This window comes from Homo sapiens, chromosome 4 (assembly GCF_000001405.40).
Source record: "Homo sapiens chromosome 4, GRCh38.p14 Primary Assembly".
In the NCBI taxonomy this organism is placed as follows: Eukaryota; Metazoa; Chordata; class Mammalia; order Primates; family Hominidae; genus Homo; species Homo sapiens.
In genome coordinates, this window is record NC_000004.12 from 44,677,476 (window position 1) to 44,701,191 (window position 23,716).

At 34.3% G+C, this 23,716-nt stretch overlaps 1 protein-coding gene across 9 annotated transcripts, besides 2 other annotated features; it reads left to right on the top strand.

Moving 5' to 3' along the window:
• Nucleotides 164-1,052: an enhancer, noted in NCBI's record as "H3K27ac hESC enhancer chr4:44679656-44680544 (GRCh37/hg19 assembly coordinates)". NCBI's record gives its function as "activates a minimal SCP1, AML or CMV promoter by ChIP-STARR-seq in naive H9 embryonic stem cells {active_cell/tissue: H9 hESC(naive)}" and the evidence as "EXISTENCE:reporter gene assay evidence [ECO:0000049][PMID:30033119]".
• Nucleotides 945-23,453, top strand: GUF1 (GTP binding elongation factor GUF1). Of its 9 annotated transcripts, none has more exons than NM_021927.3 (17): nucleotides 945-1,312; nucleotides 2,966-3,077; nucleotides 3,219-3,367; nucleotides 3,648-3,728; nucleotides 4,859-4,936; nucleotides 5,760-5,843; nucleotides 8,484-8,548; nucleotides 9,035-9,238; nucleotides 10,532-10,671; nucleotides 11,811-11,934; nucleotides 12,368-12,500; nucleotides 13,242-13,385; nucleotides 14,191-14,324; nucleotides 16,937-17,038; nucleotides 18,140-18,259; nucleotides 19,933-19,969; nucleotides 21,069-23,453. In NM_021927.3, the coding sequence occupies exons 1-17, from the start codon at nucleotides 1,148-1,150 to the stop codon at nucleotides 21,204-21,206; spliced, it is 2,010 nt and encodes a 669-aa protein (NP_068746.2). In that variant the 5' UTR covers nucleotides 945-1,147; the 3' UTR covers nucleotides 21,207-23,453. The 9 variants fall into 9 exon arrangements, with proteins under 9 accessions (NP_068746.2, NP_001332796.1, XP_024309946.1 ...); NM_001345867.2 differs by having other exon boundaries at nucleotides 5,764-5,843; XM_024454178.2 differs by having other exon boundaries at nucleotides 945-1,110.
• Nucleotides 1,124-1,283: a silencer, noted in NCBI's record as "silent region_15397". NCBI's record gives its function as "represses an Ori minimal core promoter by ATAC-STARR-seq in GM12878 lymphoblastoid cells {active_cell/tissue: GM12878}" and the evidence as "EXISTENCE:reporter gene assay evidence [ECO:0000049][PMID:35858748]".

Genomic DNA, 23,716 nt, shown 5'->3' on the forward strand with positions numbered 1-23,716 from the left:
GTTGCAGTGAGCCGAGATAGCGCTACTGTACTCCAGCCTGGGCGACAGAGCGAGACACCATCTCAGGGGGGAAAAAAAAATCCAAGAAAGAACTGAGTCTGGTACAGAATTCTTGATCCTAAGAAATCCTCCAAATGAAGAAACTTTCAAAGGCTCTGGAAACAATACGAATGATTCTGTCTTCAGTCACAATGATGAACTGAACACAGCTGTCATCTCCCTCCTTCGCACCAAATTCTGGATATTCCAGAAAAGCGCAAGAGAAATAGTGGGAGACAAACACTGGATGCAATCCTCCTATCACCTGTTTTATCCCCCATTCTTACTTCGTCAGAGCTCATTCCATGAAGTGGTAACTTGATGACGATGGAAACATTGGGGGTCCAGCATGGAACTTTTTCCCACCTTTACTTCTTGCCAAAACCTTCCTGGATTCAGTATTGCAATCAATGTTATGGCCCGTTTCCTTTCAGATGCACTTCAAGATTAGCTCTGTCACTGACAACATGGGGAATACATTTCGACCTCCAGATTTTAAAAGTGCCATTATTATTTTGCCATTAGGTAGAAGGCTAAGTCTCAACGTTGTGCTAATAATAGCATCTTTAAGTCCCTGGACTAAGACCTCGGCTCCTGGTTCGGGAATCAGACTGCCTGGGCGGCACTCCAGGCTCCACAGCTCCCCACCTGTGAGCTCCTGGGCAAGTCACTCGGTCCGGATTTCCAGAGGTAGTTTGGGGGAACTGACAGTACACACACCACAGGGCAGTAGTAAGAAAGAGACAATGCAAAGGAATTGGCACAGCACTCAGCAGACAATATAAGCTAATATGTACTCTGTCTACACCCTGCGTTTTAGGGAGTCAATCGAAAGCCTCCACTCACGTGACCACTCCACTACCCGGCGCCAAGACGCGCTGATGTCACGACAGCGTGCGGCGTGCAGACGTCGGCAAGCTGCGCCGCCGCTTCGGGTTGCTTCCGGATCTGGTACTTGGGCAGAGCTCCCCGGGGTTCATTGTCTTCGCTTCACAGGATCTGTTTGAGTCCTGTCCACCGGATCCTACGGGGGGTACCTTCGAAAAAAAACGGGCTATGCTGCTGTTGCGTGTGGGTACCCTCTCCTGACGCCTCCGCCGCCCGGGTCATGTGGACCCTCGTGGGTCGGGGCTGGGGGTGCGCACGCGCTCTCGCGCCACGAGCCACTGGGGCCGCGCTTCTGGTGGCCCCGGGGCCCCGGTCCGCGCCGACCCTTGGGGCTGCTCCAGAGTCCTGGGCTACCGACAGGCTCTACAGCTCCGCAGAATTCAAGGTGACTGCCCCCTGGAATCTGATTTAGCCAAGTTTTCAAACGTTGGAGTGCCCCATGCGATCTTGGACATGTATAGGGCTTTCTGGGACTAGCTCTGAACCCTGCTTGCAACTTGGTACAGGGAGGCAGAGCGGAGAGTGTGAGCACTGCTCAGGTTCCCGACCCTCCACTCCTCACTAGTGTGACCTTGGGCAAGTCACTAACTTTGTAGGTTTTCTCATTTTCAATGTCAAATGTTGATTTGTTTACGCGAGCCACTGGTCGAAGTGCTTTGCGTTTATTCATCTATTTAATTCTAAAAAGCCTACTAAGCAAGTTGCTAGTAAATATTAATATAACGTCCATTTTCCTGCAAATTAAGTAGCTATGTGGCCTGGGCAAGTTACTACATTGTCACTCTCCTACTTCATTTGTTGAATGCAGAACTGATCAAACATCCAGTGGCTAATTTGTGAGATTTGTGTGATGTGAGAAGTGGACTTTTTTAGACTAATACCTAGAATGCAGGAAGTTCTCGGTCTGTCTTTGTAGTTTTATTTCATTCTACCTCAGCCAGAGCAAACCTGTGTAATTTTGACTCTGGTGGGAGAGGGTGGGAGGTTCAACAACTCTGATAATTGTGAATGGATACATTTTAGTCAGAAAAGTGAAGTGACTGAAGGCAAGCTATAAGTAGGCAGAAAGACAAAACCTTAAATTAATCAACTTTGGCCCTAATATGCCTGTGTTTTTAAAAATGGATTTATATTGCAATTCGAAGTATAAAGATGGTGCAATTCTCTATACCTTTTGAACTGAAGGGAAAGAAAATCTACAGGGCAAACATCAGAATTAGTTTTTTTTCGGCAGACTTTCAGCTATAATTGTGCTTTTATTATCTGTCTTTATGGGGCTATTAAAAAACAAAGCTCACGTGAATTTTATATTTCATTGTAATTTCATGGTTTTGCTGATTGTGAAATATGCAGTTGATTGGAAAAAAATAGAGTACAAAAAACTGGTATATTTTGCTTGATAACAATTTCTAGCAATTTGTGATGTGTTTCAGTAAAACGTTAAAGAAGATGTGTACACGAAAAACCAGGAGTTCCATTTTAAAATATTTTTAAGTTTTAAGTGATAAGTCTTTTGTTGGATGTCATCTTTTTTTCTTTCTCACCAGAGAAGCTGCAAAGTAGCAAAATTGTATTTAAAATAAAATTTTGAGGCTCCATTAGAGACACAGATTTTTAAATAAATCTGATTCCTGATTAAATGTGTGATAGGAGCAGAAAATTTATCTTCTTTCAGCTTTTCTGTAGCTCCATTGCCTCAAAAGTTTTACTAGACAAGGTATTCTCAGGCCTTTAGAAGTTCTAGGTGTCTCATGTTCTCCATTCACGATAATAAATTCAGTTCCTGATTGGCCCTAAAAATTGTGTAGAAATGTTAAGGGATTATGATTTAGCTGTATAGTTACCTTTGGCTATTAAACTGATGTTCCTTGTAATATGAACTTAGCCATACATGTCTTTTTCTTAGAATAATAATATAAACAATATAAATGCTAGAAATGATATTGTTCAACGATTAAAAGAATATTCTTTGAATTGGTATACTTGTTTGATAGTATGCCAAATTTATACTCCTAAATGTGGTATTTCCCCTTTCTAGGAAAAACTTGACATGTCTAGGTTTCCTGTTGAAAATATTAGAAATTTCAGTATTGTTGCACACGTGGATCATGGCAAAAGTACTTTAGCTGACAGGCTCCTAGAACTTACAGGTATTTCATTTATGTTACATACTTAACTGATGGCTGCGAGTTATTGGGAATTACTTTTACTCTTAAATTTTAATTTTATAAGTAATATTCTCTTTTTTTTTTAAAGCCCAGAGAAATATCAATAAGTGTTTCTGTTTATAGGGACAATTGATAAAACAAAGAATAATAAGCAGGTTCTTGATAAATTGCAAGTGGAACGAGAAAGAGGAATCACTGTTAAAGCACAGACAGCATCTCTCTTTTACAATTGTGAAGGAAAGCAGTACCTTTTAAATCTCATTGATACACCGGTAAGTTTAATATTAATTTTGCATGTATTGTTAAAGTCAACATTGTGTCAGTAGTGCAAACAGATCCTTGTTTAATTTTTGAACTGAGTATTAAACATCTGCCTTTGCTTTTTGTTTTCTCAGTGTTCTTATGTTAGTGTCAGTTGTTTCAAAAGTGCAGGCTACAAAAAAGAAACGAATATTTAACAGCTTTTATCAAGTAAAGTCAATAAATTTGCCATAATGCTCTTTCCTAAAAAATTAACTCACATTTACAGGTATCAATATTTTTGTTTCTCAGGGCCATGTTGATTTTAGTTATGAAGTATCCAGGTCACTTTCTGCTTGCCAGGGTGTTTTACTTGTGGTTGATGCAAATGAGGTAGGTATTTTTCATTTTGTATGATGTGATATGACATGACTATTTGGTTGTTTCAAGAGTTTTTCTTTAAAATGTGTTTTGGAAATAGAATTTTTGTGTTTGAAAAATAGATTTAATCTGTTACTTACTGAAAATCATATGGTTTCATCCTGTTAATCTGAAATATTATTACAATAAAGCATTCTCTGGAATTGACTAGTTTTTAAATTGGAATTGTTCAAAAGATTGTTGTATTTTTTTGAAGTGTGACATCATATTGTCAATGCATCTTACCAAAAAAACCCCACCAACTTTAGCAGTTCTTAATCTGAGGTTTCTATATCCATTTTTAGCAGATCTTAAGAATAAATCATTAGTTTTCAGATCATTTTAGGTGATTTTAAGGCAATAATTTGGAAGTATTAGGTTTTTAAAAAATCAGTAACATTACTAAGCTCTTTTGTTGTGTAAGCCGTAAAGACACTCAGCAGATGACCATGTAAGAGCTGTGAATATAAACTTTTGTTACATGTTTCTCACAAACTCTTCATTCAAAACCCAACTTTTTTTTAGTGGTGGTGGTGACCGTGTTGTGTTAAGCCGTTAAGCCTTTCCTGATCCCATCAAGGAAAGTCAATCTCTACCTTATGTAGGCAGTACTGGCCTTTATAAACTACCTTGATGACTGTGTTCTCTAATAAGCTTTGAGGTCCTTGAGAGTCCATGTTACATCTTTTGTTTCTCCAATGCCTGATGTAGTTTCTGGCACAGAAAAGGCCCTCCAATAAATGCTTTCTGAACTGAAAGGAATTATTACAGAGGATGATTCAGATGCATGGAAAAATAGGTATCATAGTTGAGCTGCCGTGTACCTTTCCTTAAAGGCTTCCTATCTCAAGCTTAGTAGACTGTCTGTTGGCTCACTCTACTTGATGTGATTATTGCTTTACCATCAGCGATTTTCATATTGACCCCAAAGACATAAGTTGGAGAGAAAAGCATGAAGGGTAGCTACATGGCATTTTGTTTAATTTTATTATTAGCATAACGCAAAATCTCTTGATGAAGATGTATAGAATGGTCTTAAATTACAAGTTTTGTGATATATAATAGAATGGTCATCTCAGTATCTTGTATCTTGATATTTTCAGGGAATTCAAGCCCAAACTGTAGCAAACTTCTTTCTTGCCTTCGAAGCACAGCTATCGGTAATTCCAGTTATAAATAAGGTAATTACAATGAGACAACAGTGTTGCTATTTCACTTTCTAAAAGTACAATTAATGTTTAAATGTCAGTTGTACTATTCATTATATGAGGGATCACCAGCTATTTATTAAATATATTGGTGGGATTTATCTCTTTGAATTGTATATAACAGAAGTGCAACTGAAACTCACCCTTGCACAGAATTGAGAAGGTAGTTCTCCTGAATTAACTTGTGGTAGCTGAGGGCCATTTCTGTAGGGAAGGGAAGCAGGGCAGATGAAACATGTTTGTCAGATTAAACCATACATAGGAAAAGAAGAGAAGTTTATAATCTAGGAAGAAACAATACAACACATGAAGCATGACAATTTAGTGCTAAACTGAGCTCTGTCTATAAACTTCCATTTCATATTTTAAAATTAATTTAGAATCTTAATTTTAAAATCTGCATTGCTTTAATTATATTTCTTGATAATGGAGTTAAGTTTAAAAGAAGGCCATAGGTAAGACAGCTTGTTGTCAGACTTAATGTTGTATTTAACTTAACCTTTAAAATCAGTTCACATGCTGCTTAATTGATAAATTACTACTGATCTCTTCTGCTGCCCTGGGTAGCTAACTGCTTAAGTTTTTTTTGCAAGCTCTGCTACTTAACTTCTCTTTTTCAATCATGGTTATTAAATTATACTGCTAATATATAGATTATTTTACTGCTTTTGAAAAAATATTGTAGAGGGGTCAGTTAGGTTAAAGTGGGTAAGCTTTTAATTACCTCCGAATACTGTTAATACATAATACATCTTATCTTTATTATACTTCACATAATGGATTTTTTTTTTTAAAGATAGATCTGAAGAATGCTGATCCTGAAAGGGTTGAAAACCAAATTGAGAAAGTGTTTGATATTCCAAGTGATGAATGTATTAAGGTAAAATACGTTCCTAAAAAGATTATACTTTGAAAAAAGTCTCAAGTAATTGGGCTAAGTGAAATTTCATGGTATTTGATAACCTGGCATTATATGCTGTTTTTTATAGTTTTACAAACTTCTTTTACTATTATTTCCTTTGATCCTTATCAAAAGCCCTTTTTATATTGTTAGGACATACAGAAATTATTGCGATGCTGTAGTTAAAGGAACTGAGGCTCAAAGGTTTTATCACTTTCCTAAGATCACAGGTTTAGTTAGCCAATGTGCCAGGACTAAAACACAGGCCTTCTGAAACTCCCTGCAGTATTTCTTGTGTGTCAGTTTGCCCAGTGGAAATACTGTCTTTGAAGAGCAGGTTCAAACTAATTTCAGGGCTTTTGTATGTATCATTCTTGGAACTGACAAAAACCTATTTTATAAAAAGCTAGTTGTAGTGCTAGGAAACAATAGATTTTATTTATACCAAAGTTGCTACCATTTTAAATTTGAATTTTTATTTACCTTTGAAATGATGATCTGCTTGTTAAACAGCCACAGCCAAACTGCTATACTACATGGTAGTGTAAAGTATGTCAGCACAGCAATGTAATGTTTTTCTTTCAAGCTAATTTAATTTTCAAAAGAGCAAGTTATATATGGTTTTATATTTTGGATTATGTTATATTAAAATACAATTAACTATTCTGATTTTAATCTTAATAAAATTCATTCAGATTCTTATTTGGTATATGCCAGCTAAGAGTATGGCAGTGAATAAGACAGACAAGACCCCTTCCTTTCTGCAGACAGTCAATAAATAAGTAAACAAAGAAGTAAGCATAGGAATTATTGACTAGGATAGAGATTGTCAAGGAAATTCATTCGACAAATTGTTATTATTCTAGGTGAAATACCATCATTAACAGTGAAAAGTCTTTTTTCTTAGAGAGACGTTATGACATGGAATAACTTAGCAAAAGCGTCTCTGATAAACTGAAACGTGGAGGAATGAATAATTTTCAGAAAAACATTCCAGGAAGAGAAAAGAGCATGTGTAAAGGACTTAAATTAGGAAAAGATTTGGCATGTTTACTGATCAGAAAGGTTGATTGGATGAGAAGGCTTTGTAGGGGTATGCAGGAATCAAGTCATGCTGGGACTCGTGCTGTGCTGAAGAGCTTGAAAATTATTCTAAGACAATGGAAGGATTTTAAAGCAAGAGAAACAAATTAACCAGTCATTCAGGTAGCCTTACAGAGAATGGATCAAAGAGGTATAAGAAGAGATACAGGGAATCCAGCTATTAATGGTAGCCCAGATGTGAAATTACTATGGCTCAGTATTAACTATCCATATGAAAAGGAGATTATGATCCAGGAGGAAACAATATACATAAAACATAACAGTTCATTGCTAAACTGAGCACTGTCTACAAACCTCCATTTCATACTTTAAAATTAATAAAGAACCTTAATTTTAAAATCTGCATTGCATTAAATGATGTTTCTTGATTTGGAGATAAGTATATAAGAAGCACAGCTGCCCATAGGCAAGATAGCTTGTTGTCAGATACAAGAAACGAACCAGACCATTTATTTGATTTCTTTTTTCCAGTAATGTTAAGCTGTTCTGTATATGGGCATAGAAAAAACACATAATTGGATGCAGTCAAGGTTGAGGTTTTGTCAGCTGCCTCTAATAAGAAGAGAACAGAAAGTGGTTGAACCAGAGTGAATGTAAATGATGGATCTTGGAGTCCCATCTGGGAAAAGATAGAAACAGAGTGGAGGGTGAAGCTGATGGACAGCATCAAGTAGTATATTCAATAGTTACAAGTTAAGGACTATTGTAAAGAAAGTACTACAGTCTAGAGCAGTAGTTGTCAGTGGTGGGTGGTTTTGCCCCTGGGCAAATATTTGGAGATATTTTTGGTTTTCACATCTTGGGAGGGATGCTACCAGCATCTTGTGGGTAAATGAGGTGCCCTGGTTGCTGCTGAACATCCTGTAATGCACAGGACAGCCTCCCAAAACAAAGAATTATCTGGCCCAAAATGTCAGTAGGGCTGAAACTGAGAAATCCTAGTCTAGAGTGAATGTGAAGAGTAAGAAGTTTGAAGTCAGGATTTCAGAGATAGTCCATTTATTACCAGTGATAAAGGTCAGTCATACCATGTGGCTTGAGTGTTGGCTTGCTTTTCTGGTGTGAGAACACTAAAGTAGTAGTAAGATGCCTTATGGTTTTATGCCATCCACATACATTGTTTATCCACACAACAACCTTGAGATTTAGGCAGAATATGAATAATCACTTCATTTTTTAGATGATGAAATTTATGCTCAAAGAGATAGATACTGGTGAAATACATGGATTCAATGCAAAGACATGATTGTTACCCAGATTTCGAACTATTCCTCTTTCAATACCATAATTAGGACTCTCTTGTAATTCCATTCTAGAACTGTAGAACTACGTAACTATAATAGAAAAAGTATTTGTCAATATACTGTTTGCTTTGTTCTTTTCCTTTTGGTGTATTTCTCAAATTGATAACTATTGGAATTTTTTTTTCCTTCTGATCATAAGTCACAGGTCATCAAGATAGAAAAGTATAGTCTTAACTTTAAATGCTTATATTTTTCACATGTATCTTTTTAGATTTCTGCTAAACTTGGAACAAATGTTGAGAGTGTTCTTCAGGCAATTATTGAAAGAATCCCCCCGTGAGTATTTGGTGATTTTTGTACTAGTTGTCTCTATTTAATAGTTCAAAAACTGTCCATGTTTAATAGTTCAAAGACTGTCAGCTTGAACTGTTATTTTAGCTTAATGGATGTGGCAAATATTCTTGCAGGCAGCGAGAATAAATTTATTTGCTTTTAGTAATACATAGAAGGCAAGTACAGTAAAGTAAAAGAAAAAGTAAAGATGATTGATAGAGGTCTTTTCATGACAATCATTATAAAATATACCTCAGTACATTGGCAGTTATTTTCCTTTGCTTTAAGCTGAACAAATATATTCATAAATAATTTGTTAAAACTAGAGGTTATTAAATCTAATATATTTTATAAAAAGGTCTTTTTATTTAGGCTGTTGTGTATCAAACTTTCTCAAGAACTCAAGTACAATATCTAAGTTGAAAATAAGAATTTTATTAAGATTTTAATTTAGTGTATATATATTTACTTTTTACTTATATTTACTAGTCCTAAAGTGCATCGCAAAAATCCTCTGAGAGCTTTGGTATTTGACTCCACCTTTGACCAGTATAGAGGTGTGATAGCCAATGTAGCATTATTTGACGGAGTGGTTTCCAAAGGAGATAAAATTGTATCTGCACATACTCAAAAGACATACGAAGTTAATGAAGTAGGAGTCTTGAATCCTAATGAGCAGCCAACTCATAAATTGTAAGTAATCTGCATTAGTAAAATTAAAATGCATTTGTATGTGGTTCTATTTCTGCATTTTTCTCAACTTGGTATGCTTAGAATGATCCTCATTTGGTAACTTAAAAAAAACTATTTAATGCAACTATACAGTAAATGCTCTGTCAAGGAATCTCATGGGAAGGACAATAGAAACGTCAGTTGATACTTTTTTTATTCTAAATGACTAGTTATAACTAGATTTATGATCAAGGGTAGATTGGATCCTATATCGATGTATTTGATGAGACAATGAAAGAGTTAGTTCCCTCCACCCATATCCATATTAGGTATCATTTTTGACATTTCTTCATAACTAGATTTTCCAATGTAAAGGTGGTATAATAGAAACCTTAATAAATCTTTAGTGTGGAATTCATGGTAAAACCTTGATTAAAATTCTTGGGGAGTAGGATTAGCAAGGGTAGTGTGCATTAGAAAAACATCTGAATTGACTTGTAAAAGAACTATTTATTGAGTGCCTACTCCGTATCAGGTACTGATGAGGCATGACCTTGGGTACATAATTTGAGCTTTGTAAGGTCCTGTTCCTTGTCTGTAGAAATTATTGAACCAGATGACTGTCAGATCACATTTGAGTGTTTAGTGTTATATGTCTAAAAACAGCACTATATTGAGTCAGAAAGTCTATTTTTATTTTACTGAAATATTTTAACATCTATTTATATTCTGCCATATATACCAAACATTATCACATCTTCATTTAAGGTTCTTAAAGCTCATTCTAAGTGTAAATCATTTTAGTTTTGTAGGGATTTTTTTTTTTAACTAAGCTTAAACTGAACTCATAGGATTTGCTCTTTTGCTACAGGAGGAATATCAAGTGTCCAGTTTGTTGAGAGTTCACATTTTTCTTGGATAAAAATTTACCTTTTTTTCCTTTGTTAAAGAACATTTTCAACACAATTCATTAATAAAAGACATCACAAGTGTACTTATTATAATGCTTTTGTACTTACTAGTTTCACTGTATTTACATATATTTTAGAAACTGCTGTTTAAATTGCAAAGGTTGGCAGAATCATGAAAAAGGCATTAGGTTTATAAGTAGAGAGGTCTAATGGATTGTAAGACCTGGTGTGTTCATTTGCTGACAAGCTTCAGAGTTTGATAATTGATATGTAGCACTTATTTTCAAAGTGTATGGAAAGTTTGGAAAGTGTATGATAGTTTCCTGGGAAGGTAGAACTAATTGTGAGTTATGTGCTTGAAACATTAAAGCAGTAAATATTTGCATATAATAATTTTATTTAGATATGCAGGACAGGTGGGCTATCTGATTGCTGGGATGAAAGATGTCACTGAAGCGCAAATAGGAGATACATTATGTTTACATAAGCAACCAGTGGAGCCCTTGCCTGGGTTTAAATCAGCGAAACCAATGGTATTTGCAGGTGAGGAGTTCACAAATTCAAAGGTTGAGGGCCATGATATTTTTAAACTAAAAGTCTGTCTCAGTGGTTAAGGAAAAAATACACATTCTGGTTATTTTAAATAACCACTAATTCCAGCATATTGTTTCACTTTGTGCTGTTTATCAGTTTATAATTACATATGTGTGATGAAATTATATGTGGGAGATCATTTAGGATGTGTTAAGAAATAAGTTCTTGAGGAAGAAGCTGTGATATATAGGATACAGTAATATAAATTTCTTTCTTATTTTTCTAGGGAGTTCATTATTATATTTGAAACATTTTTCTAATTAGGATGTTCTTATTAGTAATTATCAGTAGACACTGACTGAGTGCCTTCATCTTCGATAGACTTTCTTTAATATTGTACTGTACTAATGTAGATATGACAGAATGGTGTTGCCTCAAGTACGTATAATTTCAGAATCTTTTACTTCATTTACTTTGGAAAAAGGAAGACCTGATTGAAGGTCATCAGGTTACTCTGTGCTGAGTATCTAGCCCTTAATTTTTGCCCTACAGTCTCTCTCACTGGGAATTAGGAACTTTGTTTACCCCTACCTTTAGGCAAAGTCAGTCATGTGGATTTTAGAGGACTTCAGAGGTGTCAGATGAAAGAGAATCAGTAGTGATTCCCATAGTTTTTGTCAGTAAATACCAAAAAGCAAAATTTAACTATGGTTTTAAGTAGATAATCTGCCTTAGAGAATTGAGAGTGCAGTATAGTTTTCATGTCTACTTCTATTTTTATCCAATAATAAAGTTTCATTTGGGTTGTGGAATGTCTTGTGCTTTTGTTTTTGAAATTACACTGTGTTTTCTTAATAGGCCTAATTCCCATGTTTTTTTTTTTCTTTTCCCTGTATTTTTTCAAAAACATTAAAAACATTATTTGGAGTGCAAATCTAGTTGTATATTCTTTCAGACTAATGACTTGTAAGATACTTTGAAACCAAATAATCATTCATTTTTAGCAAACCAATATTTTGGTCAATAAAATACAAGAAAGTAATTTAAAAGGTAAATGACTAATTTGGAACTTGGCAGCACTACACATGTGGTTTGATAGGTCTGTAGGCAGCTTATCACGTGATAATTAGAAATCATTGTATCCCCAGGAATGTATCCTCTAGACCAATCTGAATATAACAATCTGAAGAGTGCTATAGAAAAACTGACTTTAAATGATTCCAGTGTGACCGTTCATCGGGATAGTAGCCTTGCTCTGGGTGCTGGCTGGAGGTAAGATTCATTCACATGTGTTTTATAGGAAAGGGAGGTGTAAATGGTGTATTTTAAAAATATTTTTATAGGAAAGGGAGGTTTTTAAAAAATATCTTTATAAGTAAGGGAGGTATAAAATGGTGCATTGTTCTGGAACATTTACTGAAAATAAGTTTATATTAGTGTAAAGTGAACGAAAACAATTTTTATCTGCCTGTTTCACGTTGCGGATTGACATTTTATGGGTAAGTTTTATAGTGATTTAAAATAGATTCCCAATGGAAGATTTTAATCTTATTTAATAAAATTATGCTAGCATTTAATTATATTGTGAATTGTTTGAATGACTTAATTCCATCCCTCCCTTAAAGTAACAATATGTTCATTAAAAAAAAAAAAAATGAAGCCCATGGGACATAAACATTTTGGAGTTTGTCTTTTCCTCCCCCAGGCTAGGATTTCTTGGACTTTTGCACATGGAAGTTTTCAACCAGCGACTGGAGCAAGAATATAATGCTTCTGTTATTTTAACAACCCCTACTGTTCCATATAAAGCTGTACTGTCATCATCAAAATTGATAAAGGTACTTGGTATTTAGTACTGGTATTTAGTACTGTTTTGCATTAGTCTCTTGGAAAAAATAAATGTGTGTATATACAATGCAGGAGAAGCTTTTTACTATACCAATAGCTGATTAAGTATTAAACAAAATATTTATTGATTAGTAGTAATAAACATTGAATTACCCTATGGCTAATGATGAAGAACTTTTTTGAAAACTAATTTATGCAATATTTTTCTTAACCTGATGTAATCTCCAGATTATCAAAACTAGTCTATTGCTGATAGTAAAAGGTAAAATTAGTAGTGAAAATAATGTTCTGATTCTAGCACAAAGATGAAAAATGTAATTTTGGTCATAAGTAATTTATCTCGTAAAAAGTGAAGCATTCATTCTGGTGACTGGGAAATTTTAAATTTCAAATCAGTGATGAAGACAGTATTGTATTCCATGTAAGTGGCAATCTGTTCATTTTAAACAAATACTAATTTTGGCAATCTAAATATTTTCCAACAAAATTAACTTATTAGACTATAATGTTTTATAAGTGTCAGGTTAAAGTGTATTCTTTTGTCATACTTCTTCTAAATGGTCCATGAAATATGTTTAGTAAATATCAATAATTGGAATATATTGTTTACTAATACTTGTTATTAATATTAAATGATTACAGCTGGAGGGATTTTAAAATATAAGGCAAACAAGAAAAATGATAATCATTATATTAAGATTTTAAGTATTGCTGATTTTTCTAATTTTTAGGAACATAGAGAAAAAGAAATTACAATTATCAATCCTGCACAATTCCCCGATAAATCAAAAGTAACAGAATATTTGGAGCCAGTTGTTTTGGGCACTATTATCACACCAGATGAATACACTGGAAAAATAATGATGCTTTGCGAGGTATAACTATAATACAATTTAATACAAAATTAGGTTTTAGTCCTCTGAAATAGTGATTTCCAACTCAGGTTTTAAAAGATTTCTTTCTGCTGAGCATACTGAATTTAATGAGATTTTCATATATATATCTGTCTATATCTATACACATAGATATGTATACTTTTTAAATTATTTTGATTTTAAATAAAAATATTTCTGATAATTTGTGTAATTTACTGATTTGATATGTTAGCCCAAAGGAAAGAAATTTGATAATTAGCTAAATGTATAATTTCGCCTTTTTGAGTAGTTTGAAAGATAATTATAGTACTTCAGGGACCATAAATTTGAAGGTACTCCCATTTTGCTTTAGTTCTCACCACATTGTAATAAATGATTTAATCCACAAATGGTATGTAATTATATTCCTTAAAAATACCTATGTGAAATACTCTGATACATATTGGAAAGTGTGTCAAATGGTGACTGAGCTTTGATTAGGTTAAAAACTAGATTGTAATCTTGGTCTTAACTTTTAATTTCTCTGGACCTAATTATTTGTAAAACAAGAAATTAGGACTTTTGACTTTATATGTAGTTACATTTGATTTACTGTTAAATGAAATAGTGTTCATTTTAAAAGATAAAATTGTTAGATAAAGATTAAAAGCTTTGGTAGCAAGCCTAATGCAATTGAAATATAAAATGTTTCTCTCTGGATTATAAATACTGCCTATAAGTTTTTACTAGACCTTTAGAGAAATACATCATTCCTCAGTATTTGAGTAGGTTATCATTAAACCCATTTTCTTCCTTCCCTTTTTAGGCTCGAAGAGCAGTTCAGAAGAATATGATATTTATTGATCAAAATAGAGTTATGCTTAAATATCTCTTTCCTTTGAATGAAATTGTGGTAGATTTTTATGACTCTTTGAAATCCCTATCTTCTGGATATGCTAGGTAAAAAAATAATGAGAACCTAAGATGCCTGACCAACTTTTTTGAAATATTGATGAGCAAGGGTATACTAATTCTTCATTTATTTAGTAATTTCAGCTTTCTTGAAGATAGTTGAGAATCATACTCTAAGGTTAGAATGACTTGGAACAACTTTATAGGTGTTACAGACTACTTGTGATTTGCTTATAGGAGAAAAGTTTCCTTTGATTTATTATCTAACTTTTATTTCTCTTTTAACAAAAAAAGTTAGTCCCCTTTTCATGAAGAGCTGTATTCCTTGTCTGTTAAGAATTAGACCTAATTTCAAAAATTTACCATAACCTCAGTGGCACTTTTAAAATGTATATTTATGTTATGCAATCTCAAGAGCATCTATTTACATTTGAAAAATAAAAGTGCATATTCAGTCTGTAAAAAATGTTAGATGTGCCGCTCCATTAGTGAACACTTTAATAACTTAGTCTTTTGAGGAACAGGTTGTCCTCATCACGAAAACCTTTGTGTATCTCATAGGAGTACATGGAGAAAAGCCAGATAAAAGTGAAAGGAGAGTTACTATTAAATAACAAATAAGAAACTCAGGGCATAGCATTCTGAGAGGCTGTTTTTTGTTGTTGTTGTTGTTGTTGGGGCATATAACTCTAGATACCCTCACTATGCCCTAAAATCTTATGTTACGGGATAGTATATATAGAAAACAGATGTGAAACATGGGGAAGCAGGAGGGGAAAAATGAACATTGACATCTATAAAACTCCCACACAGTGCATGAATGTTAATGTTAACATGCAGAGACAAATTCCAGTGTTTAACAAACATGCTACAGTGACTTGGAAGTTTAACTTTATTTAATCATCTTGTCAGTGAAGAGAGTTAGCATATATAATTCTTCTTACCAAGGAATCTTCATGTTCCTTTGTATTGAGAATTTTCTTCTACTTTGTCACCCAGTTTTTTCTTCTTCTATGTCTTCTTTCAGACAAGACCTTGAGCAAGTAAGTGGCAATGGAATTTAAAGTAAAATGAATTGAGGGGCATATTAAAATTACTAGAGTTGAAAGGAAGATTAGTAGGTTTAATGTTTATAAATATTTTTAACAGAAGTCTGTCAATTTTAGTTTGCATTTGGGTACTACTTTCTGAATTATAAGTGGTCTTAAAAAGCCTTGTCGTTTGGAAACTTAAATACATTTTGAATTTAATGAGAGAACATGATTTATTTTTGAACTACATAAAAATAAAATATTCCAGCTTCCAGCATTAAGGTAATTATGTTCAAGATGGATGTTTTACATAGGCAGTCAATTCCACACTTAACAGAAAGTCATCATAGACTATGAATTAAGATCAGGAAAAAACTTATTTCATACCAGGAGGCAAGAATCAACAGCAACTAGTAGCTTTTTGGAATTACAAATGTGTTTCCTGCATTCTAAGGAAACACTAGAATACCTATGTTTTCAATAGAGGTTAGGTATCAATTGGACTGCTTGGAAACAAAAACACAATTTTTATAATGATTTCTTTTGAAAAAATGAGTTAAGAAATTTTTAAGATTTTTAATATTTTGGACCACAACATAGCTGGAGCTGTAACAACTTCAAAGTTAAGGACCATGTCTGTTTTATTCTCTATTTGCTTTGTATTCTGTATGATACTTAACATGGTATCTTTCATACAGTAAATGTATAAGTGATGCTTCCTGAAGAAAGAAAGGATTTTAACAGTACTTCTGAAAATAATCTGTTAATAGAGTGTATTATTGTCACTTTATGACCTTCCTGCTGAAAATCTTTAGAAACCAAATATAATTTTGCAAGTCCAGGCACCAATTGTTTTAAAATTAAGACAATAGGAGTATACATATTCTTGTCTGTGATTGGGACAACTTGTAAGCCTAATTGAAATTTTCTTTAGACTTCAGTTTTATAAGTGAAACATTTAAATGTCTGTTTTGACTAACATTACAAGCTTTGACCACATTGTTAAAAGTAATAGCTGAAACTAAGTGCTTGTGTGTGCTAAGCTAGGCTCTGTTTAAACACTTATTATGTACTAGGCATTGCTCTAATTGGTTTACATGTATTAACTCATTTAATCCTCACAAAAGCCCTGTGAAGGGAGATGCAAGCTGAAGAGCCAAATAGGAAATCCAAAGGTCTCATTTATTAATGGCATTTTATGAGTGTCATAGCATTTATTTAAACATAGAGTTGTCATTGGTAATAGAAAGTTAAACAGAAACCCAACTCATGAATCTGAAAATGATCCATTAATAATATATAGTATTGTCCGAAGCCTCCCAGCTGCTGGGAACATTGGGAAGGCATGATATTTGTCTTCAATAAACCATTTTCTTTGTCAGGTTCACCAGCTTATTTTCCTTTCCCCTATAAACATATTCCCCTTGCTTTTGCCCTTGATTTAATAAACATAAAAAGATAACATTTAGATCCATTCACAAGAAACTGTATATGTAATATTTTGATGGAAACATATCTCTTTGGGGAGTGTAATGCGGTAGAAAGTAGACATTTAGTAAAGAGTAAAGAGTAATAAAGGTAATCTCTCAGGAAGTGTAATATTTATCACTTGGACTTTTTTCCTTTTAGTTTTGATTACGAAGATGCAGGCTACCAGACTGCAGAACTTGTAAAAATGGATATTCTACTGAATGGAAATACTGTAGAGGAGCTAGTAACTGTTGTACACAAGTAAGTTCAATAGAAACTAATCATGGAATGTGAAAATACTTTTGATATGTTTTTCATTTATTTTTGTTTGAGCAGCTGCATTTAAAAAACTTCTAAGGTAATTAAAATAGAGTTCACCCTACTAACTTTGCTTTCTCTTTTTTTTCCACACTTCTCTCTAGACTGCTAAAAATAGAACAGAGCTATAATAGTCAAAAAGAACAGTGTCATAGAAATGTTTCCCTTCACCATATTAAAAAAAGTTTTAAACATTTTATAATGATGGATTTAGAATTGGGAACAAGTTTTTTTGTTTTGTTTTGTTTTTTTTTTAGATGGGAGTCTCATTCTGTTGCCAGGCTGGAGTGCAGTGGCGCAATTTCTGCTCACTGCAACCTCCGCCTCCCGGGTTCAAGCAATTCTCCTGCCTCAGCCTCCTGAGTAGCTGGGACTACAAGCGCATGCTACCATGCCCGGCTAATTTTTGTATTTTTAGTAGAGATGGGGTTTCACCATATTGGCCAGGATGGTCTCGATCTCTTGACCTCTGATCTGCCCGCCTCGGCCTCCCAAAGTGCTGGATTTACAGGCGTAAGCCACCGCGCCCTTTTATATTTGTAAAAAAATTATAAAAAGGAAAACCCCCACGTGTTCAAGAAACAGCAGATTGGTTAAAATGAATTACAAAGCACCCATATTGTTATTTTCAGCCATTAAAACTTGTGGAGTAATATTTAGTGACATAAAAATGTCTGTTAAATATAAAGAGGGTAGAATATATCGTAAACACTGATCATACAAAAAAATGCAAAAAAGTGATTAGAAAGATAACTGTTTAAAATAATCATTCCAAAATGTTTAACCGTTTTCAGCGGGTAAGGAAAGAGAATCAAGAACAGTTTCTATTGTCTAATGTTGTATTTCTAAATATTCTGTAATCATACATTACTTTTTTAAATCAGAGAAGTTGTTCATGATTCAGAGAGTAAGAGAGATTTATAAGTAAGTTCCATTTGAACCTCCTTAAGAGATCACCTTTACACTGATTATGCAACTGGCCTAGAAAAATACTTGAAATATTCTTATTTAGGATATATAAACAGTTGTATTTTTCTGTCTCAGAGACAAAGCTCATTCAATTGGCAAAGCCATATGTGAACGGCTGAAGGATTCTCTTCCTAGGCAACTGTTTGAGATAGCAATTCAAGCTGCTATTGGAAGTAAAATCATTGCAAGAGAAACGTGAGTTGAAATTCATTTTTGGTCTTGAGCCAGTTTCAGAAATGATATACCTAAAAAGTGAAAGAATATTGAACATTTTAATTTAACATTGGCCTAAGCTTTCTTACTTGTAGAAACAGTATGATGGTGCTCTCCAGTTTTCTGATTTAAGTAATGACTGTTACTTTGAATTACTTATATAACAGCACTGGGTGATGTGATCTGCAGTTAGTATAACGTATACGAGTTTGAGGAACTGTTTTAATTTCCACTCATATCAATGTCTATACTGAATTTCCTGGGTAAGGAATTTCTTTTATGGTTTTATCCCTTTAGGTAGATTATAGATTAATAGAAACTGAAACTAAAAGGTTTTGTCTTCCAAATGACAAAATTACAATTTTTTTTTAACCCAAAGCATTTAATATTGCTTCCCCACTTCCGCAGAGCTAGGGAGGTTATAAATCAAGGAATGCCAATACCATGTTAGGATTTGCATTCTAGATTAGGGACCTCACATGAATTATAGTAGATATGGAAGACAGGCTAATTTGTGTCGGACACTAGTCTTTCATGAAATGTAATACATAAATCAGAACACTGGCTGGGTGTGGTGGCTCACATTCTGTGATCCCAACTACTTGGGAGGCTGGGGCAGGAGTATTGCTGTGAGACTAGTCTGGGAAACATAGTAAGACCCAGTTTTTTAACAAAAACCCAAAAATAACAATGAAGAACACTGAATAAGCTGCTCTGCTTGTGACAGCAGGTGCAGGATGTGTCTTGTAGCACTTCCCATTTCCTTTCCTTAATGATCCTAAGACTTCTAGGAAATAGGAAGTATCTCCTCAGTTATGAAAAGCTGGAAATTGCTATTAAATTCGACCTTAACCCAAACCTAATGAGGAAATACAACCATCATGTTAATATAGACTTGAGGTTAATTTTAGGCCCACTGTTTGAAATACATTTCATTTCCTAACACTGTTTTGCTTTGGTTAGTTATTCTGTGTTTTGTAAATACTGAGATCAGGCAGAGTAGAAATGATAACTAGGGAACATCCTGGAAAGTGCAATTTAAGACAGTTAGCAATTGCTCATTCTAAAATAAGTGTGTTGAGATAATACCTTAAAAAATTGGTTTTTCTGTCTTAAGGAATACATAAAGATGGAGCTATTTTCAAAATTAGAGTGATCTAGAAATTTCTCAAACATTGTAGAAATAGATTAGTTTATAACTGCTGGGGTGGATATATCAAGCTTCCTAGCCACTCCATCCACATTCAGTAGAGGCAGTAATAAGATAATAAACATATTTTGTTTTTCTGAAGTAGTAGTGTTAATTTTTAGATTGGTAATTTTTAGATTGAGTAAAAAATAACCTAATGTATTTCTTGTAATCAAGGTCACATCATGCTTGAATTTGGCCTAATCAAGCCTACCACAAGCCTTGACCATTTTTTCTTAATGTGTGTTGATAAACATGTTGAATTTATTTGTTCTTTTATACCAAGTACATGAAAATAAATACAAGAGCATTTGAAGTATCTAATTAATATGCTTATGGCAATTTTACATAGGTAATGATACTATCATTAAAATTTTCTAGTAAAGGGGAGATTGTTTTTGGTAAGGAAGTGCTTTTAAACAGTATAATGGAATTATGTACTTAAACGAATTTTTCTCTTTTACAGTGTGAAAGCCTATAGGAAAAACGTTTTGGCAAAATGTGTATGTATCTAGTTGTATTTATTCTACTTTATAACTTTTATGGGCTTTAAATCAAAGGGGGCATAAACTTATTGATTTCCATTGTTGGTTTTTATACATTCTTTGTTTCCAAGTTCCCTTTTTGAATAGGTAAATTTCAGCTTGACCATGGCAACCTGTTCATTTTGCCCATATCTTTTAAGTATTTTTTCATCTTATTTATAAAAATTTACAAAAATATTTATTAAAATTGTTCTTATATGTAATACTAAGGAAGATTTTTACAACAGTTATTTCTATGATCTGGGTAACATGTTTTCTTGATCTAACATATAATGAAAGATTTTGAAAACAATGGCTTTATCTTACAGTTGAAGTCTACCTCTCCTGACATTGTTTTGCCAGTTTGCTGTTATTCAGCTGTTAAAAAATTATTCTTGCACCAGCTCGGTGGCTCACAACTGTAATCCCAGCACCTTGGGAGGCCAAGATGGGCAGATCACTTGAGGCTAGGAGTTCCGAGACCAGCCTGGCCAACATGGTGAAACCGCAGCTTTACTGAAAATACAAAAATTAGCCAGGCGTGGTGGTGCATGCCTGTGATCTCAGTTACTCGGGAGGGTGCAGCATGAGAATTGCTTGAGCTCAGGAGGCGGAGGTTACAGTGAGCAGAGATCCTGCCATTGTACTCCAGCCTGGGTGAGAGGGAAACTCTATCTCAAAAAAAGAAAAATTATTCTTAAATATCGTGAGAGTTGAATGATCAATTCTTTCTCCAAAGGCACATTTATTCCTATGTGATTAAGAGTTACCTATATTAGACTGTGGCTTTCTAGTCAAAATTCCAAGCCTAGAATCAGTAAGGAGATTGATAATTCTTCCTTGACATGCATATTATTATACTAGGTTTCCTTGGGAATCTTCACCTCCATCCAGATTAAATCCTGTATCATTCTTTGAGAAGACAGTAAAATTAGATCTGCTAGGAAGATTAGAGAGATGTCTGCCTTATGGATAATAATTTGGTATGGTTGTTAAGGTTGTACTGATGCCGCTGTAATCATATGATTGTTTCTCTTTAGAGTGACTTAGACTTCCAATGTTTTAAAATATTTTTCAGTATGGTGGTGATATTACCCGAAAAATGAAGCTTTTGAAGAGACAAGCAGAAGGGAAAAAAAAGCTGAGGAAAATTGGCAACGTTGAAGTTCCAAAAGATGCTTTTATAAAAGTTCTGAAAACACAATCTTCTAAATAATTGGTGGGAAAACAAAGAATTTTCATTGCAATTTGTAATATGCTGACAACAGAAAGAAAATTATAAAATTTGCTTGTTACTTTCAGGGTATTCAGGTTCAAATAACCTACTAGTCTTTCGTTGAAAGGGAGTAGTTAGTGGGTAGGCAAGAGCTTAGATTTTGAAGCCATGTTGCCTGTTCTCAAATATCTGTTCCAACCACTCACTAGTAAGGTGACCGTGGCCAGATTAACCTTTGTTTCCTCTTCAGTAAAATCGAGATTATACTACTACCTACATAAGTTGTTGTTGTGAAGATTAAATGAGGTAATACGTTAAATATTCAGAGGTGCAAGACACATAGTAAGCACTCAATTGTAACTACAGTTAAGTCCTTAAATGCCATCGAAAGGTTCTTAGAAACTGACTTTAAGCAAAATGACACGTAGCACAATGTTCTTGAATGATGTCATTTCCTTAAGTGGTTTGTAACATCGATGAGGAAAAAAAATTGGTTTATGCGTCATTTCATTTTATTTTTATTTATTTTTTGAGACAGAGTCTTGCCCTGTCGCCCAGGCTGGAGTGCAATGGCACAATCTCGACTCACTGCAACCTCTGCCTCCTGGGTTCAAGAGATTCTCCTGCCTCAGCCTCCATTACAGGCGTGCACCACCATGCTCGGCTAATTTTTTGTATCTTTAGTAGAGTCGGGGTTTCACCATGTTGGCCAGGCTGGTCTTGAACTCCTGACCTCGTGATCCACCCACCGTGGCCTCCCAAAGTGCTGATTACAGGTGTGAGCCACCATGCCCAGCCATGTCATTTCATTTAAAGTCACAATTTCCATGAATCTCAACAAGTGAGGACCTGCTATATTTTGTTGCATGCAGTTTTTCTTTACGGACACTAAAAGGCCCCATACTTAAGATTCCATCTACTTTAAGTTTAAAGGATTTTCAGAATCACCTTAAGTGTCAAATTTGTTAGCAGGATTAATTGATATGAATTCACTTATTAAACAGTAAACTCAAATAACATAGACATCAAATAACAGACATCTGCTCTAGTTAATGATAAAATGTTTATAGATTTTATCAGGTGGTTAGTTTGAAACTAAATGGTTTACATCTAAATTAAGGGCAGGAGCTGTCTTTCAGACATTCAAAACGCATTTGTGTAAAATGACAGGTGTTTGGTATTACCAGGAACTCATAATGACATTTTAATAATTATTGTCTAAATTTCATAATCGAAGCGATTTTAGAGTAGTTAACTTGAGATTTCACAGCCAGTAAATGGCTGTATTTCTCCAGAGCTCTCAGCTCCCATGTTTATTCAGCCAACGAACAAACCAGACTGCAGACTGTATTAGAGCAAGACAACATCATTTAGCCATTGATTTTTATCTTCTACCTTGAATGAATTGAATGAAGAAAATGTCTTTTAGGGATAAACACTATCAAGGATGAATTTTATACTAAGGTTATATGAAAGAAAAATCTCAAAACCACTAAGCCAAAGGGAAGTCAAGCTGGGAACTGATTGAGGCAAACCTGCCTCCCATTTTATTCCTAAATAAGACAGCCACAAAGATAAAATTTGCTCACAAGGGAATTCCTTATGGACAAAGAACTCAAAGTCTTCACATGAAACAAATGCATAAATGATTGCTTTCTCTGTTTCATGTTTCACTAAGCCAGATTAAGGTATAACTGACTATTCCTCTACTCTCCTCTCACATGTAAATTGTATATTCAGTGAAAGGCTAATCAGAAACTCAAAAAAATGCAACCCTTTCTCTCTTACCTGCCTATGCTTGAAGCCCCCGCCCCTCTTCAAGTTGTCCTGCCTTTCAAGACCAATGTACACCTTACACATACTGATTGATGTCTCATGTCTCTCTAAAATGTGTAAAACCAAGCTGTGCCCCAACCACCTTGGGCACATGTGGTGAGGACCTCCTGAGGCTGTGTCATGGGCACACCTTAACCCTGGGAAAATAAACTTTCTAAACTGACTTGAGAGCTGTCTCAGATATTTTGAGCTTACAGTTATTGTGAAATCATTTTAATTATAAATTAAGTGGAGATTTACTTAAAATCATGTGTAGAAGTAGCCTGTGATATAGTCCTAGATACATACATTATCATCTTATGTATCTTCCCTCCCTCTTCCAGGTTCTGATAAAAACAGATGAAATCTGAAAGACCATGACAGTAGTATTTTGAAAATGACAGTATTTGAAATTAAAAAATTGTAAAAGTGTTCTGTTCTATCACTGCCAAAGGATAAGTTACAAATTGGTTCTTGGAACGTAATATGTACTATGTGCTTGCTATTTAATAATTTACCAGTCTTAGTCTTTTTTATTCAGACTAATTTTACCTTTTTTTAACCTATGACTCTTTAGTTATAGTAGTACAAAAAAGTAGTTTTAGTTATAGTTTTAGTTGTAGTACAAAAAAGCATTTTCTGTAAGCTTAATTTCTTTCCCCTTCCCGCTTTCCCAGTCAGATGACTTTAGTGAT